Genomic DNA, 18,879 nt, shown 5'->3' with positions numbered 1-18,879 from the left:
TAAGATCATCGGATACAGCAATGCTTTGGAATCCCAATCACACAAATCTGGGAATGACTCACATTCCCTGGTAATGAAGAACAGTCCTCCCCATGCTGTTTGAGATAGAGGTGGAACAAAACAGACAGTCAACATGAGGGAGGAAGGGCCGGGCTGGCATTTTCTCTCACCTCTTTCTGAAATTCTTTTGATGAGGCACATTGAAAATGGTCTCAGGTCCAATTTAATAAAATGACAAATCCTCACAGGTGCAACAATGTGTTTCTAAAATCTGCTTCTCAGACTTTGGGGGATGGGGACTGAGGCTGATAGGATTTTCACCCACATATTGCATGCATTAAACTCGAAGAGGTTCATGAGACAGGCACAGTACAAAGAACAATTTTTTAAAATTAGCTTAGTTGAAACTGACAGAAGCACTTCAAACACTTCTTTAAGATATATCATTAGAAAACTGACAACCTGGGGGAGTTACACTAGCATTCTTAGCTGCATTTCTTTCCTTCTCCTGGCATGCACTGACCTATAACTTCCAGTATTAAGGACTCTTAATGCCATCTCCTGTTGTCATCCATGTGCCTACTCCAGTCTAAGCGTGTGAACAACATGAACACATTCTGGCAGATATTTCTTTTAATACTTCAAACTATCCACAGAACATCTCTCTTCCAGCACCTCCTTCCTCTGACCATCCAGGCCCTGTGTTTTGTCTGGAATGGCACCATTTTATGGATAGCCAAAATAATCTGAATGTCCACCTATGCAAGAAACCCTAGGAATTTATTTTTTATTATTTTTATTTTTTGAATGGAGTCTCACTCTGTTGCCCAGGCTGGAGTGCAGTGTTGCAATCTTGGCTCACCACAACCTCCGCCTCCCAGGTTCAAGCGATTCTCCTGCCTCGGCCTCCCTAGTAACTGGGATTACAGGCACCCACCACCATGCCCAGCTAATTTTGTATTTTTAGTAGATACAGGGTTTCACCATGTTGGCCAGGCTGGTCTCAAACTCCCAACCTCAAGTGATCCACCCACCTGGGCCTCCCAGAGTGCTGGGATTATAGGTGTCAGCCACCACACCCCACCAACCCTAACAATTTATCATGTTTGGTGCAATGCTCATGTGTTATGATAAGTGCAACTCTTCGTGTACCATAAGGACCAAACCCCTCTACCAAGAGTCTGCACAAATAAGTTCAAAGGAGGCATAAATTGAAGGAGGCAGTTCAGTGTCGCATAAAATGCACTAAACCAAGAGACTAAGCCTTGGCTTCTTGTCCTGGACCTGCTGCTGACCAGCTGTGCGACCTTGGATGAATAAACATCATCCAAATCACTTCTAATATTTACACAGTGTTTTACCATGTGCCAAACTCTGTCTAAGTGCTTCACAAATGTCAACTTGCCACCAACCCAGAGAGGTACCTTAGTACCCCATTTTACAGATAAGGGAGCTGGGCACTCGACCACACCCTATACTGCCTCTAATGGACCCTCCTCAGCATCATTCTTGCTTCTCCCATTCTCTCCCTCACTCCACTTCCGATTCGTCAGCAAGTCCTGTTGACTTCCCTAAAACATACACCCTGAAACTGCCTTCTCTCCATCTTTGATGCCACCAGTATAGTCCCCTTTATCATCAGAGAACAGTTTGGGTCTCACAGCTTCCACTTCTGTTCTCTCACAATCCATTCTCCATAGTTCTTAAAAGAATGATGGCACTCAAAACAAAACTCAGACTCTTCCTCGGTGTCTGCAAGGCCTCTGTGATGCAGCCTCAGCCCCTTCCTCCCATGAAGCAGAGCTCTTCCCTTACTCACTCGCTGTGCTTCGGCCACACTGGTCTGCTTTTAATTCTGTGAACACACTATGCTATTTCCTGCCCAAAATGTTCTTCCCCTAATACTTCCCATCACAGACTGAACACTACCTTCTCAGAAAGCCCTTCTCATCATCTTTACTCCTATTTTTCTGCCCTTTGTTTGCTTCACAACACTTACTATCACAAGAAATATATGTGATCTGAGAGAAAGAGAGAGAGAGAGACAATGTGTGTGGTATGTACCACACCAGACACACCAGAGCTCTATCCCAATCCCAGAGCTAGAGCAGGACCTGAAACCTGTATTTCTGAAAGGCAGCCCAGGTGGTTCTGTTAAGCAATCAGGTTTGAGAACCACTAGACTAGATGATTCTAAGAACATCAGCCAACCCTTGCCAATTGCTAGAATTTTAATTGCTGTGTGTTAATACATGTTTTTCTCCTATCAGAATTTGTACATCAAAACATCATACTGTACCCCTTAAATATATAGGATAAAAATAAAATTTTTTTTAAAGTGTGAAGGGTGATCCAGGGGCCAGAAATCAGAGATGCAGCTCAATAGATCAATGGAAGGTCTTAGCTATACATAGCAAACTGCAGGACAGGTGGGGTTCCTGAGACTCGGATGACTTGGTTTGTAATACAAAAGAATGTAGCAGAATGTGTAATAAAAAGAATCCATGGCCGGGCACAGTGGCTCAAGCCTGTAATCCCAGCACTTTGGGAGGCCGAGGCGAGCGGATCACCTGAGGTCAGGAGTTCGAGACCAGCCTGGCCAACATGGAGAAACGCCGTCTCTACTAAAAATACAAAATTAGCCGGGGGTGGTAGTGCATGCCTGTAATCCCAGCTACTTGGGAAGCTGAGGCAGGAGAATCGCTTGAACCCAGGAGGCGGAGGTTGTGGTGAGCCGAGATCGTGCCTTTGCACTCCAGCTGGGGCAACAAGAGTGAAACTCTGTCTCAATAAATAAATAAATAAAATGCACACACATGACAGTCCTCATGGAGACGAGATGGCATCTGAGAGTGGAAATGGGAAAGTGCAGGCTTCTTTGCTTGGGTCTGTTCCTCTCAGACCCAATCTTGTTCTCAGTTACACTGGTGAAACTGAGGCAGTGTATCAGATTCTGTGATTGTTTTTTGACCAGACTTGCCCAGTACATATCAATTACAGAGAAAAGCAAGGGAAACCAACTCGAATGCTCTGCATTTAAAGTCATCTAGCGCATCTTGATTTCATCAGAGTACTAGGGTGTATGTTAGGTAAATAGGACCCTACCTCCCTTATTTTTTTTCTTCAAAACAGTGATTTTATTTCCTTTGAATATATACCTAGAACTGAGATTGCTAGAATATGGTCATTCTATTTTGAATCATTTGAGGAACCTCCACACTGTTTTCTATCGTGATCATGTTAAGTTTTTTAACTTTTATTTTGGGTTCAGGGGTACATGTGAAGGTTTGTTACACAGGTAAACTCATGTCACAGGGGTGTGTTGTACAGATTATTTCATCACCCAGGTACCCAACAGTTATCTTCCTGCTGATCTCCCTCCTCCCACCCTCCACCCTCAAGTAGACCCCAGTGTCTGCTGTTTCCTTCTTTGTGTTCATAAGGTCTATCATGTAGCTCCCAGCCTCCCTTATTTTCTACTGCTACGAAACTGATGTAAGCTTTGGCTAAATAAGCAAGGAGCGGCTTAAACCAGTAAGAAACACACACACACAGAGCCAACTGTTTATTTACGTATTCAGTGAAAAGAGAATGAGTGAAAGCAAGAGATCTAATGTCTAGGAAATTATTCATTAATTAGTTCAGCAAATATTTATTCAATACTATGTGCCTGGCACTGTTCACAGCACTGGGGCTACAGAGATGAACAAATATCCTGTATTCATGGAGCTTACATGTTTATAATAAACTGATCAAAATGAACATCAGATAGTGATAAGTGCTATTAGAAGGAATGAAGCAGAGTAAAGGGAGTACGATGGAATGGTGAGGGTTCTCTCCTAGGGTGGGTCAGGGAAAGCCTAGTGAGCAGAGATGTGGATGAAGGGAGGAAGCAAACCCAGTGAACGAGGCGGCAGGTGTGTAACTGGCAGAGGGTCCAGCAAATGCAAAGCCCCTGCAAATGGCAATATGCTTGGCAGATTTGGGGAGCTACAAAGCTGCTCCTCTAATCTGACTGGAGCAGGAGAATGAGCAGGGAAGGGCAGGCAAGGTCAGGACGTGTAAGGTCTTGAGGGTTAGATAAATGAGATTTTGGCTTTTGTTCTAAGTGTAAGGGGAAGCCACTGGAGGGTTTAGAGCAGGGGAATGACATAATGTGACTTATCTTTATTTATTCATTTTTGTGACTTATCTTTTAATAGAATTGTCTAGCTGTTGGGTGGAGGAAAAACAACTGACAGGCAGGACCTAGGCAGGGAGAAAAGTAGGTAGTTACTGTAGAAGGATGGGCGAGAAACAAGGATGGCCTGGACTAGGCTGGCAGCTGTGGGGTGGTGAGAAGTGGACCGATTCCAGATATATTTTGAAGGTAGTGGCAAAAGTATTTGCTGGGGGTTTGGATACAGGGTCTGAGAGACAGATGGGTCACACAGCACACCAAAGGGGCCTGAGCAACCAGCTGAGTAGTGATACCATTTACTGTAATAGGGAGGGCTCAGGAAGGTCAGAGTGTTTTGGGGTAGAATTAAGAGTTTGGTTTTGGATAGGTTAAACTTGACATCTTCAGAAAACTGAGTGGAGATGTAGAGTACGCAAATGGCTACATGAGTCTGGAGTTGAGGAAAAAGGCTGAGGCTAAAGCTAGAAATATGGTCCCCAGCACTTACGTGTAGAGAGAATAGGATACTGTGTGTATCAGCCCCAACATCTGGGGCTGAGCCCTGGGGCCCTCCAACATACCACACTTGGCAATGATGACTGAGAAAGTACAGCCTGTGGGGTAGGAGAAAAGCTAGGAAAACTTTTTCAGTAATTTTTTTTTCTTTATCACACAACTTCTAGCAACAATGTGGTAGAGTATGGAAAGCGTATGTTAGGGGCTCTAGAGCCAGACCTCAGCTTTTCAGTTTACAAGCTACAAGCACTTGCCTAACCTCCTTGAGCCTCAGTTTCTTGACTTGCAAAATGAGAGATTTGATTATCTACAGCTCAGGGCAGTTGGAAGAATTGGAACGTGTGCAAGTAAAGTACTCGGTACATAGTAGGTATTCAAAAATTATTATTGTATAATCATAAAGGTATAAAAATAATCAAACTTTATATAAGCTTAGAAATATTATAAGCATCATGATAACTGAGGTTATTCTGAGGCCAGGTGCGGTGGCCCACGCCTGTAATCCCAGCACTTTGGGAGGCTGAGATGGGCAGATCACTTGATATCAAGAGTTCGAGACCAGCCTGGGCAACATGGCGAAACCCCATCTCTACCAAAAATACAAAAAATTAGCCAAGCGTGGTGGTGTGTGCTTGTGGTCACAGCTACTCAGGAGACTGAGGTAGGCGGATCGCTTGAGCCTGGGAGGCAGAGGTTGCAGTGAGCCAAGATCGCACCAAGGCACTATACCCTGGGTGACAGAGCGGGAACCCCATCTCAAAATATGTGTGTGCGTGTGTGTGTGTGTGTGTGTGTGTATGCACGCGTGCACGCGTGCGCACGTTATTCTGGTCCATAAAATAATTAGCTATAAAAGGTAAGATAACATGAGTATGTGGGCACATCATCCTACTACAATTCTGTTTAAAGTTAGGCTACCATCAAGATGGAACATATATATGGTTTGAATCCTGTGTTGAATCCTAGCGTTCAATGGATAAGCGGTAAGGGAAAAAGATACAGAGGAGCAAATAGGTTTTTCTTAATCAAAATTTCAGCTATAAATATGATGAAACACATCTTCATTTATTTATGCTACTAAAACCACATAATTCAATATTTATACTAATCATAAGTGAGGAAAACACAAGTTAATAGAGTCCCAGGAAAAATTCTGCCAGGTTGTATAATACCTGCTCTGCAGTTTTAAAGTTCATGTTTAAACTATAACAAGGTATTCTTTTAAAATAATTAAAACTTGGCTGGGCGTGGTGGCTCATGCCTGTAATCCCAGCACTTTGGGAGGCCAAGGTGTGCGGATCACCTGAGGTCGGGAGTTTGAGACCAGCCTGATCAATATGGAGAAACCCCATCTCTACTAAAAATACAAAATTAGCCGAGCATGTTGGTGCATTCCTGTAATCCCAGCTACTTGGGAGGTTGAGGCAGGAGAATCACTTAAACCCGGGAGGCGGAGGTTGCAGTGAGCCAAGATCGCACCATTGCACTCTGGCCTGGGCAACAAAGAGTAAAATTCCGTCAAAAAAAAAAAAACTTGACATGTATAAGATAGTGGTAGGAAAACAGTAGTTAATCTAAAAGACATCCTAATCTTTGGTAAGATTTAATAAAGCTGAAGAATATGCTCTCTATAAAACTCTATAACTAGGTAATTCTTAATTTGTCCAAAAACACACTATTGAGAAATACAACATTTTTCTCTATATTCTTGGTTTTCTGGTAGAATTACTAGTTAGATCTCTACATATGATGCTTATGAGAGTCATTGTTTTTTTTTAATCCACCAAAGTTAAGTCTCTGTTCTCTGTGGGACCGCTTAGCACTTCTACTGATCTTATGTTGGAAGAATCTGTCTGGTTTTAGCCTGGCTTGAAATCAACATGAATCAATTCACATTAAATTCAATTACAGCATCTTAAAGCAAGACAGCAGAGAACATATTCCAATGAGAATATCCTTCGTTCTTTAAAAAAGTCTATGAAACTTGGTAGGTAGATAGATTATAGAAATCTAAGGTTTAGGTATAAATGCTTTTTTTAATATTTAGAGGGTATGGCTCATGCCTGTAATCCCAGAACTTTGGGAGGCTAAGACAAGAGGATCACTTGAGCCCAGGAGTTCAAGACCAGCCTGGGCAACATAGGGAGACCTCCATCTCTACAAAATTAAAATTAAAATTAAAATTAAAAATTTGCTGGGTGTGGTGGTGTGTGCTTGTAATCCTAGTTATTTGGGAGGCTGAGGTGGAGCCCAGGAAGTCAAAGCTGCAGTGAGCCATGGTCATGCCACTGCACTCCAGCCTGGGCGATGGAGTGAGACCCTATCTCAAAAAAGATATATATAGAGAGAGGGCAACATGACAGTGCCGTCAAATATTCACATAGCACACCTATCGCCCTGTTGGGTTTCAAATACGGACTGGTGCCCGGTGGGAACTTGCACCACTTTGAAGCCCCTGGGCAGACTACCCTTTGCCCTCAGACACTCAAAAGCACTATGGGAAAGCTGATTTCAGTTATGTGAAACCCTGTAGTAAAGGGGCATGTGGCCCTGGGAAGGCAGGGGTTCCCAGCCTTTTCCAACCCAACACCACTGAGGCTGTGATAGGACACACTCCCATCTTCAAAAATGGCTCTCCAAGAGCAGTGATTTCTACAATTACATAGAGGAATGTCATCAGATCTAGAATAGAGAGAGGACAGTTTAGGGAAAAAACAACAACCCTGTACACACATAGTACATATGGAGAATCAGTGCAATAAAGGGGAAATGATATCAGAGAAGCAGCTAACACTGTGGTTTGAACAAACCACTCAGACATCATTGGGCCTCAGTTTCTTCCTTGGTTTCCTCATCTGTGAAATTAGGAGAGTCGAGCCAGATTATCTCAACGTCCCTTCACTGTAAATGTCTGCAATTTCAAGTTCAAGATCTAAATAAATGAAAATCAGGTCCAAAAGTCTGGGGTGATATGACTGGAAAGTACTCATGGCTAAAAATCTCTTCCAGGCTTAAAATTCTCTAATTCTACGTTTCTCTAATGGAAGTAAGAATTATATGGTTAAAAAAAAAAAAAACCTCACCTCCCATGTGGGCCTTCCCTCTGAGAGGCACTTAGGCACTTTTTTTTTTTGAGACAGGGTATTGCTCTGTCACACAGGCTGGAGTTCAGTGGAGCAATCATGGCTCACTGCGGCCTCTACCTCCTGGGCTCAAGTGATCCTCCCATCTCAGCCTCCCACATAGCTGGGACTATAGGCATGTGTAACCACACCTGGCTAATTTTTTAATTTTTTGTAGATATGGGGTCTACATTGTCTAGGCCAAACTCAAACTCCTGGGCTCAAGCTATCCACCTGCCTCTGCCTCCCAAAGTGCTAGGATTACAGGCAAGAGCTATTGTGCCCGGCCTACTTAGGCATTCTTCTTGCTTAAAAGAAACTACATCTTCAACAAGTAAATTGCAAGAAAAGAAAAAAAGGGGAAATCTAAGGCTTAATAGAGATTTAGGACTCACATTACCTAAATACACCTTGTTTAGATCCTGACTGAAGTGTAAAAAATACTAATAAGACAATCAGGAACATCTGAACATTGACTGGATATTTGATGGCATTAAGGAATTATTGTTTTTTTTTCTACGTGTAATAATGGTACTATTACTATGTTTTTGAAAGGAATCCTTAGCATTTAGAGATACATACTAAAATGTTTACAGATGAGGTGACATATCTGAAATTGGTTACAAAATAATGTAGTAAGGGGAATGAAGAGGGTATAGATGAAATAACATTAGCCATGGTTAATAATTGTGGGAGTCGGGAGATAGATACATGGGACTTCCTTATACTCTCTTCTCTATTTGTGTCCTAAATTTCCCATAATAAAAAATTTTTCAAAGAACATCTTGAAAATAGTTACCAACATGTTATTTTGAAATTAATCTACCTTAGCCTTTTTTCAAGAACTATAAACAAATTCGGCCATAAAGTTAGCCATCTAAAATCAAAATTGATACTCATATATCACGTTCTTGGATTATGTGTTAACAGTGCCAAATGACCATAGAACGAGCTGCCCTTTTGCCCAAAGTGGAATTACCACAACAAAAATCACTGTAATGTTTTATGTACTAGTAGCTTTTTTATTAAAATACCTTTTAGATCTTCTTTTCCATTTAAGGAGATGGTGCCCTTAAAAACAGTACGGAAGGAAAGGCCATGCCTCTCAAAGATACTTTAACTAAAGAATTTATACTTTTGGAAGGGGACATGAGGTCTTCTATTTGAATCTCCAGTTTATCTATCTCTACTAAGAGATGAAATATTTAATTACTTAAAAGACCATTATAAGAAAAACTGAACTTACAGGGTAAGCATAAGACCAGATGTTTGAATTCAGAAGAACCATGAAAACGCTTCGGAGAGAAGGCCTTATTTGTTAAATAAAAATTCAAAAAACAAATAATTATCAAGGCAGAGAAGGTCCAGAATGCAGTGGCTTGGGTACCACTCTTTTCCCATCTGGCTCTCATCTTGCATATGCTCCACTCCTACCCAGGCAGGGCCCCCTGGAAAACATGCCATGCTTGTCACTGTGAAGCATGTGTGTTTCTGCCAGGAATAGTCATCCTGAATATGCATTAGTGTTCAGGAATTTTTATTTATCATTTACCATATTATAAACCCATAAAATAGAGGTATTTGAGTCAGAGCCACTCCATCTTGAACAGCAGATGGGTAAAATGAGGCTGGGACCTGCTGGGATACATCCCAGTTTAGGCATTCTTAGTCACAGGATAAGATAGGAGGCCAGCACAAGACACAGGTCACGAAGATTTCGCTGATAAAACAGGATGTGGTAAAGAAGCCAGCCAAAACCCCCCAAAACCAAGATAGTGATGAAAGTGACCTCTGGTCATCCTCACAGCTCATTACACACTAATTATAATATATTAGCATGCCAAAAGACACTCCTACAAGCACCATGACAGTTTACAAATGCCACAGCAACATCCAGAAGTTACCCTATATGACCTAAAAAAAAGAGGATCCCTCAGTTCCGGGACCTCCTCACCCCCTTCCCGGAAATCTCATGAGTAATCTACCCCTTGTTTAGCATATGGTCAAGAAATAACCATAAAAATAGCCAACCAGCTGCCCTCGGGGCTGCTCTGCCTATGGAGTAGCCATTCTTTTGTTGATTTACTTCTCTAATAAACTCCTTTTCACTTTACTCTGTGGACTTGTCCTGAATTCTTTCTTTTTTTTTTTGAGATGAGTCTCACTCTGTCGCCCAAGCTGGAGTGCGGTGGCGCAATCTCAGCTCACTGCAACATCCGCCTCCTAGGTTCAAGTGGTTTTCCTGCCTCAGCCTCCCTAGTAGCTGGGATTACAGGCACCCACCACCATGGCTGGCTAACTTTTGTATTTTTAGTAGAGACAGGGTTTCCCCATGTTCGCCAGGCTGGTCTCAAACTCCTGACCTCAAGTGATCCGCCGGCCTCAGCCTCCCAAAGTGTTGGGATTACAGGCGTGAGCCACTGTGCCGGACCCCTGAATTCTTTCTTATGCAAGATCCAAGAACCCCCTTTTGGGGTCTAGATCAGGACCCCTTTCTCGTATCACAACCATCAAATTGAAGTCCAAAAGACACTTTTTGAGAAAAAAATGTCCATTAACCTATCAGCATTCAGGTCTATAATATGTAGAGATTAAACTTCAGTTAAAGAATGGACTCATTCAAATAGTCAAAAGTCACTGACTCAGCAGAACTCTAAGAAAAATATTTCATTTATTAACCAAAGCACCTTGATGGATTTTACTTCCAATACCAATAGAATATATTCTATTATACTTTGCTGATGTAAAGCATCTATCTCTCAATGTAATATGTGAGCACAAATAAATCTACCTTAGATATTTATTCATAAATATCTTCCTGAATCTTGAAATAAAATTTCATACTATAAAGTTTTCATAGACTTGGCAACATAGCGAAAAGCTGTCTCTACAAAAAATATTTTTTAAAAATTAGCCAGGCGTGGCGGCAGGTACCTCCCAGCTACTCGGGAGGCTGGGGCAAGGGTCTGTCTTGAGTCTGCAGTGAGCTGTAATCATGCCTGGGTGACAGAGTGAGACCTTGTCTCAAAAAAAGTTTTCACATAAGGATACAGGAAACGTGAGATATTTTAAAGCTGAAACTTCAGCTTGCTGATGGACAATACCTCAGCTCATTATAAGCCAGCTCTAAAGAAAACACAAAAACAAAAGGCGAACTATTTGAAGGCTCAGGGTCTAGAATAGGTAGCACTAACTTCTATAGAAACCAGAGGTTTTGAAACAAGTCACAGTGCCTGCTGCCACAGCTCTTAAAGGACTTGATTACCTTGAAGTGTAACTGCTCAGGAAGCACATAGCCCTGTTTCCAATAGCCTGTGAGCATCTTACTCACCTTTGTATTCTCAGCAACTACAGACCACATAGAAGGTGCCTGGCTAAGTGTCTGTTGAAAGAGGGAAGCTGGTGAATGAGGGGCTAGGGGAAAGCTCCATTACAGATACATTCAGGGTGCATTAGTTTCCTCACCAATGTATTCCTCCTAGGCCAGCCTCAAGACTTACCTAGCAATACCTATGAGAAGTTCTAGGAAAGTTCATGTAAATCAAGTACAAGTTTATGTAAATCAAGGAAATCAAATATTTGCTATTTAAACCAGGGACTCTGCTATTTAAAGGAAATGGATGGGGGCTGGGTGCAGTGGCTCACCCTTGTAATCCCAGTACTTTGGGAGGCCAAGGTGGGAGGATTACTTGAGGCCAGGAGTGCCACTGCCCCCCAGCCTGGGCAACAGAGCGAGACTCCATCTAAAAAATAAAATAAAATAAAATAAAATAAAAATATGAATTTTATATTCTTAGTTTGCTTTAAGCAGGAGGCACCCAGCTCAAATCTACGCCTTGCCTCACTATCACTTGAGCAACCTTTTTCCATGTTGTCTGAAGGTCAACTGGATATAATCCAGCTTCTAGACAAGTTTTGTTAGTAATGCCTGTGACCTATTTTTAATGTCAGATGGCAAGAAAATTCCCCAATAATAGAGTCCTGGAGGGCAGCCAATACTCCATGGAAGCCAGACTCTGGGCTTTTCAGTTTCCCTTGGCTGATATGGGATAGACAAATAATATAAGAGCTCCTGAGTGGGGAGCTGATACCAGGTAGACCATATATCTCTAGAGCACATTTCAAAGTAAAACTCGAAGCAACAAAGTTGTAGCCTTCTGTCAATTGGCACAGGGATAAGTCCTAATCAGAGATGCTGGGCACACAGGAGGAATTTGATAAGTACTTGTTAATTGGTCCCAACATAAAAATATGACTCAAGAGATGGGTTTCATAAGTTCTGGCCAGGGAGACAGTTTAGGGCAGAAGGAAAGGCTCAGTGTAACACTCATTTATAAGTAGATGGAACCATCATCTCTGGTCACTTGGAGCAATAAGAATAAGAGCAAATAGTGGCCAACAGATTAATTCTGATTGTCAAAGCTTTAAAGTTTCATGGAGTGTTCCATGAAGCTCGATTAGGGTTGCCAGATTTGACAAATAAAAACAGAATTCTCAGTTAAATTTGAATTTCAGATAAACATCAAAGAATTTTTTAAGACAAGTATTCCTAAACATTGCATGAAACAGACTTTAATTAAAAATTATTTGGTGTTTGTCTGAATCTCAAACTTAATTGGGCATCCTGTAATGTATCTGACAATTGTACTCTAGAGAGAATAAAAAGACACAGTGAATCACAGACCCCCTTACTGAATTAAGGTTTCTGAAACACTGTCCACAGAAATGCTTAAAGAGGTTAGATGTGGATAATGAAGAATCTGCTTAAGAGTGAAAAAAGATGCTGATCAGAATCAACTGTTCCTAGGCAGGCAACTAACAGTAAAAAGAAGGACGGGGGGAGTGGGGAGGGATAGCATTAGGAGATATACCTAATGTTAAATGACAAGTTAATGGGTGCAGCACACCAACATGGCACATGTATACATATGTAACTAACCTGCACGTTGTGCACATGTACCCTAAAACTTAAAGTATAAAAAAAAAAATTCATTGCTGGTAACAGGAAAGCTTGACGCTAAAAAAAAAAAAAAAAAAAAAGGACAAAAAAATAATACAATCAGGACGGGGTTTCTCAACCTCAGTGCTACTGACATTTTGGGCTGTATAACTCTTTGGCGTGGGGGCTCTCCTGTGCATTCTAGGATGTTTAGCAGCAGCATCCCTGGCCTCTACCGGCTAGATGCCAGTAGTACCTCTTTAGTTGTGACAGCCAAAATGTCTCCAAGTATTGCAAAATGTCCCCTGGGGGCAAAATCTCCTCCAGTTGAAATCACTGAGTTAGAAGAAATGGTCAAATAAACAGAAAGTGTCACACCCATTAACCAGTGGTCATATAACTAAAGATTGTTCTCAAGGGAGACTTTCTCAGCTCAGCCCCTGGCCCCCTCCAAGCCCCTAACAAAGAAGGCCTAGTCATTTCAGCTAAGACAACCAAAAACCCTTCATCTGCCAGAAGCGCTAGGGAAGAATCTTTGGTGAGCCAGGCCAGTGAAGCTCTGCATTGGCCATGCACACATCACAGCAAGCAGGGCATCGCACCCAGCCTTTGAAGACACTCCTTTTAAGTTAATCTCCCCTCCAACTAAACTTTTTCCAAATCTCTTCCTGCCATTTGGAAGTTGAGTGATTCTCAGCTGAAAAGGCCTGTATAGACGAGGTGCAGATGGCAGCAGTTACAGCCCTCACCAGATGCTACAGTCTCTAATTTGATTGAAAGGATATAATTAGACAACAGAAACACTTTAATGAAAGAGCAAAACATGGAGGGAGGGAAGGATTGAAGGCCCTTAACTGATGCCAAAACACCCACCAGTAATAGAGGCTTTGAGTCTGGGGAAAGGGAAGGGGAAAGCCCCTTAAAAGGACAGTCCCCATCCTGTTTATTTCCCCATAGACATAGGAATAGGGATTTTATTATTGTAGATTTCCACTGTATTTTATGTGGGAACAATCTGATTAGAACCAGAAGGGTCTTCGGAAGAACATCAAAGAAAAACAAATATGGCTTCTGTGGTCATTATTAAAAATATTTTTACCAGCCCAATAATTTTCTTTGAAGATGAATTTTTATAGATTGAACAACAGCAAGTAATTTACATACTGTGATGGGATTGGTTAGCAATCCCTACTAGTCTAGAAGAGAACTACTTGGTTGCCATGTTTTCCTCCAACTTTAGGACACTAAGGCACATGTACAGCCATCTAATATGTCTGTTTGGAAGGTGTGAAGAAACCACGCAGAGTCAATCATACACGCTGATAGCTACAGCCGCTCTGAATCACCTTTAAAAGTTGCCTACACTGTTTTTACTATTTCCTAGCTTTAAAATTTTGTGTGTGAGTATACCGTTCTGGTTCTAACCAAGAATCTAACCAAACTGAAAGAAATCCAGCCCTCAAAGTCTGCAGTTGCTAATGTGGTGTGACACTTGGGTTTGGAAGCAGCTGCAGCCTCCTCAGCCCACTAGAAGCAGGGCCCCGCCCTTGTGGCAAATTGAACAATAAAAGTTTAATGCTTTGGCTACTTGCCAGAGATTAAATCCGTGGCAAGGGAAGCTAGAAGCTGGGCCCGGCAGAGGGGTAGCTCTGAGAGGGCCCTGTTGTATAAATGCAGGGAGAGAGGCAACTTTGCGTGTGAGGTGGCCTAAAACATTTTGTCTGCCAAGGTGCTCCCTAGCACCCCAATTCATTCATTCCTCTTTAAACTGGTACAAGTGCAGGCTAGGAAGGTGTTTACCTAGAAAGAGAATTTAAAAGGAGGGGAAGGAATTCCCTTAGAAGAGAAGTCACGTTTCTGTGGAGTAGTTATTTGTGAGGTGTATGGACGCCAATCTGACATTTTTTTGCGATGGCCTCTTTCCTTTCCCTCATCAGTCTGAATACAGACAAAGTCTCAGAAGGTGAGGTAAGGGTTGAGGGAAGCACCGCCATCTTGGGAGGACAACTATGAAGATAAGACAGGGAGGAAAAATAGAGTGACCTCAGACTGCTCCTCCTAGACTAATACTTACGGGTTCCAGCTGGATTCTCAAGGTCAAACTGAATATAGAAGGAATGTCAGTCATCATTCTCACCAATGACAAGGCTGCCCAGTGAGCCGGCCAGAAGGTAACCTGCCAAGTGGCGTTGGGGGTGCTGGATCTCACTTCAAACCTATACAGGTAGTTTTCTAAGGGACACATTCACTTCCTCCTATGTTGTCCTTATTCAGGCGGCAGACACTCAAGGCAAAACTACAGATCCAAACTTCCGGCCTCTCTCAAGTGTTTTGCATTAACTGTTCCACAGTACAAGCACAATCAACTTGGTATGTTTGAATGTTTCATTTTGTTTTTTCAGAAATGTTTTAATTAAAACAAAATAATCAGCTATGCTAAGCACATTGTTATTTTTTAAAACGACTTTAAATATGACAACAGAACCATGGACATAAAAATTAACTGGTTAGGAAAGTCATAGAAGTTTGTTTTCTTCTTCTTCTTCTTTTTTTTTTTTTTCCTGGCTGTTTTTCTGTGTCAGGGCTGGTGCCACCTGCTGCCTGGGCTTTCCTCTGAGAAATAGATCTCTCAACGGTTTGTTCTAAGCAACATCTGCAGGCATAGTTGAACAAACCATAGGCCAGTTCCAAGGCAGGCACTATTTATGTAGTGTACACTGAACCATGCTGAATTTCTCTTTAGGACATTTTCAAGGTGTTTTTGTTTGTTTGTTTGTTTGTTTTTGAGACAGGGTCTTGCTCTGTTGCCCAGACTGGAGTGCAGTGGCACAATCTCAGCTCACTGCAACCCTGACCTCCCAGCTCAAGTGATCCTCCCACCTCAGCCTCTTGAGTAGCTAGGACTACACGACATCTGTCTAATTTTGGTTTATTTTTTGTAGAGACAGGGTTTTACAGAGACAGGGTCTCACTATGTTGCCTAGGCTGGTCTCAAACTCCTGGGCTCAAGGGATCCATTCACCTGAGCCTTCCAAACTGCTGGGATTACAGGCTTGAGCCACTGCACCTGGTCTAAAAGTCCTATTAAAGACCCAAATGTACGTGCACAAACTTTTCCCCATACGTATCTTTTTAAAAAAAAATTGTAGTAAAATATTAACATAAAATGTACCATTTTAACCATTTCTCCCATATGTATCTTAAAGTTAGTTAACAGTAAATGGTAAAAGTTTCATTCATTCACCAAAATCAAGCCTCCTTCTCACCTTTTCTAGACCAGTGAACACTGAAAAAAATCAGAAGACATGGACCTTGAACAGAACTCAGCAAAGCACAGCCTGTGGCCCAGATCTGGCTCACTGCCTGTTTCTGTATGGCCCACAAGCTAAGACTTAAAAAATCTATAATTTTAAAAATATTTTAGTTTTGAAAAATCAAATGAACAATATTTTGTTAACATAAAAATTATAGGAAATTCCCAGCCTGGGCAACATGGTGAAACCCCGTCTCTACTAAAAATAAAATACTAGCCAGGCATGGTGATGCATGCCTGTTATCCCAGCTACTTGAGAGGCTGAGGCAGGAGAACTGCTAGAACCCGGGAAGCGGAGGTTGCAGTGAGCCGAGATTGCGCCACTGCACTTCAGCTTGGGTGACAGAGTGAGACTCCGTCTCTTTAAAAAAATAAATAAAAATAGGAAATTCAAATTTCAGTGTCCATAAAGCCTTACTGAAACACTGTCACACCCATTCATTTGTCTTTTGTCTGTGCTGCTTTTGCCCTACAGAGTTGAATAATTGCAACACAGATAGTATAAGGCCCATGAATCTCATATTATTTACTGTCTTCCTCTACAAAAAATGCTTGCCCACACCTGACCTAGATTATCAGTTGACATTTCCAGACTCAAAAATTCTAAACTAAGGATGGTATATTCCCCATCACCAAAAATCCCTAATCTGTATATTGTGAAGCTATTTAAAGCAATATATTTTATCTTACTCATTTATTGCTTTTGGTCTAACTATGCTAAACCATGAGTTTATCAATAATATCTGTATTGATATACAAGAAGTGCATCAACTTTCTGTTTATGAGTAGTGAGCCTAAAAGGAATGCTTTCTTGCTTTAAGATTTATAAAGGGACTCATTGCCTATCTCAAATACTTTTTATTTATTTGTTTATTTTGAAACAGAGTTTTGCTCTTATTGCCCAGGCTGGAGTGCAATGGTGTGATCTCAACTCACCGCTACCTCTGCCTCCTGGGTTCCAGCGATTCTCCTGCCTTAGCCTCCCAAGTAGCTGGGATTACAGGCACGTGCCACCATGCCCGGCTAATTTTTTGTATTTTTAGTAGAGATGGGGTTTCACCATGTTGGCCAGGCTGGCCTTGAACTCCTGACCTCAGGTGATCCGTCTGCCTTGACCTCCCAAAATGCTGGGATTACAGGTGTGAGCCACCGCGCCCGGCCTCAAAGATTTAAATGGTTTGTCTAGGGACTAAAGTATATTTTCACAAAAATATCAGAGGTCTTTGATAGCAGGTCGAAATGGTGTTTCTTAAAATACTCAGAGTATGCAAGTAACTGGTATGCACCCTTCACTCCTTCACTGCTTCAGCCCCCATGTCGCTTACAGGTAATTCTATTAGCATTAATGAAGTCCCCAAGAGAACCAAGAATTGGTAGACAGTATGAAGCTCTAGCTGTTAACTGAACTCATAGGTTTTAGGGCAAACACACTACTGGCTAGTGGGGCAAATTCCAGATGAGGAGGTAGAGGAGAATGAGCATCAGTCTATAAACTTATAAAAGGTATTCACAGCAAACATAACCTGAGTGGAGAAGCTCTGTTGATGTGCACCTAATAGACCCTAAAGGTAGTAAAATACTCAAGTGAGTAGACCATAAATTCCATAAATTCCAGATGGGACCTACTACAGAGAACCTCTCGACCACATGGCCCTGGTTGCACTCCTCCTTGAAGGAAAGTCTAGATTCCATTACCTTCTACTTTCCTTCTTATGAGTTGTGAAGGAAGGAAGAGAATCTTAGAGGAAGAATGAAAAGAAGGGAGATCATTTGGGGTTGGCTACACATTGTAATTAGAAGTAGGATTGATGGGGAATGAGCTAACTGTTTTTATAAAGTCAGCATTCAAAAATGCAAACCACCAGTAATTTAAATATTACAAAATTGTGCAGAATATAAATATTGAAATAATTTTTTCCATCCACAAAATTTTAGAGAAAATTACAGTATCAAAAAATATAAAATGGCAAGTTTGGCATATCCTCAGAGTAAAGTGTGTGTGTGTATGTGTGTGTGTGTATGTGTGTGTGTTTTATTGGGAAGGATTTTAAAAGCTAGTGAGTAGGATCTAGACAGGATGTGTTGGTGAAGACCATGGGGTATCTCCCTAAAATTGCTTCTGCAACTAGACAGGAAAAGTCAAAAAAGCAAAGCACTGAGTTATCAGGACGGTAAGGCACCAAGCTGGCAAGGCTCAGTGAGTTGGGAACTTGGGCCACTTATCACAAATTATTTCACAACGATTATTTGCCCCTACCCCAGACTCCTAAATAAAAGTACACCAAAATTTGGGGTGCAAACTTGATAAGAGATGCTGCATTTGACCTTAAAAAAGCAAAGATATCTGGGAAGAGACTAGCTTCCAACGAGCTTAAGGAGAGTTGGCTCACTTGATGCAAATCAGAGCTGCTGCTCTGCCCTTTCCAGAAGGGGAACCAGTCTATTTCCACCCATACCTCTCTCTTTGTAGGGGACATTAAACCCTGACCACACAGATAGCAAAGTGGAGCTAAGGGGTTACCAGGTTACAGTCATGTTGACATATCCTGGCTCTCGGAATGTCCCTCACTCCTCACAACAGTAGAAGTGATCATACTGTAGAAGTCCCATAAAAGACGGTGATCACTCAGAAACCACTTACTGAGCCTCAGGTTTACAACACTTGGAGACCCCAGTTCTACTAATTTAAAGCCAAGCTTAGCCTTTTACAGAAATGAATCAGACCGAAAGCTCTTAGCATTCCCAGGGTAAATGAGGTGTCTAGCACTCGATGAACTGTGAGGCCCTATAAAAGTATTATTAAAATATGTTTATTGACTCCCTCCTATAT

The 18,879-nt window shown here is 41.7% G+C and overlaps 1 protein-coding gene across 5 annotated transcripts in view; it reads right to left on the bottom strand.

Moving 5' to 3' along the window:
• The window catches only part of KREMEN1 (kringle containing transmembrane protein 1), a 95,299-nt gene that overhangs the window by 74,555 nt on the left and 1,865 nt on the right, over positions 1–18,879 (bottom strand). The gene's annotated exons all lie outside the window — the stretch shown is intronic.

This window comes from Homo sapiens, chromosome 22, assembly GCF_000001405.40.
Source record: "Homo sapiens chromosome 22, GRCh38.p14 Primary Assembly".
NCBI lineage: Eukaryota > Metazoa > Chordata > Mammalia > Primates > Hominidae > Homo > Homo sapiens.
The sequence above is the reverse complement of the archived record's forward strand: the minus strand, read 5'-3'. Positions and strand labels throughout refer to the sequence as shown.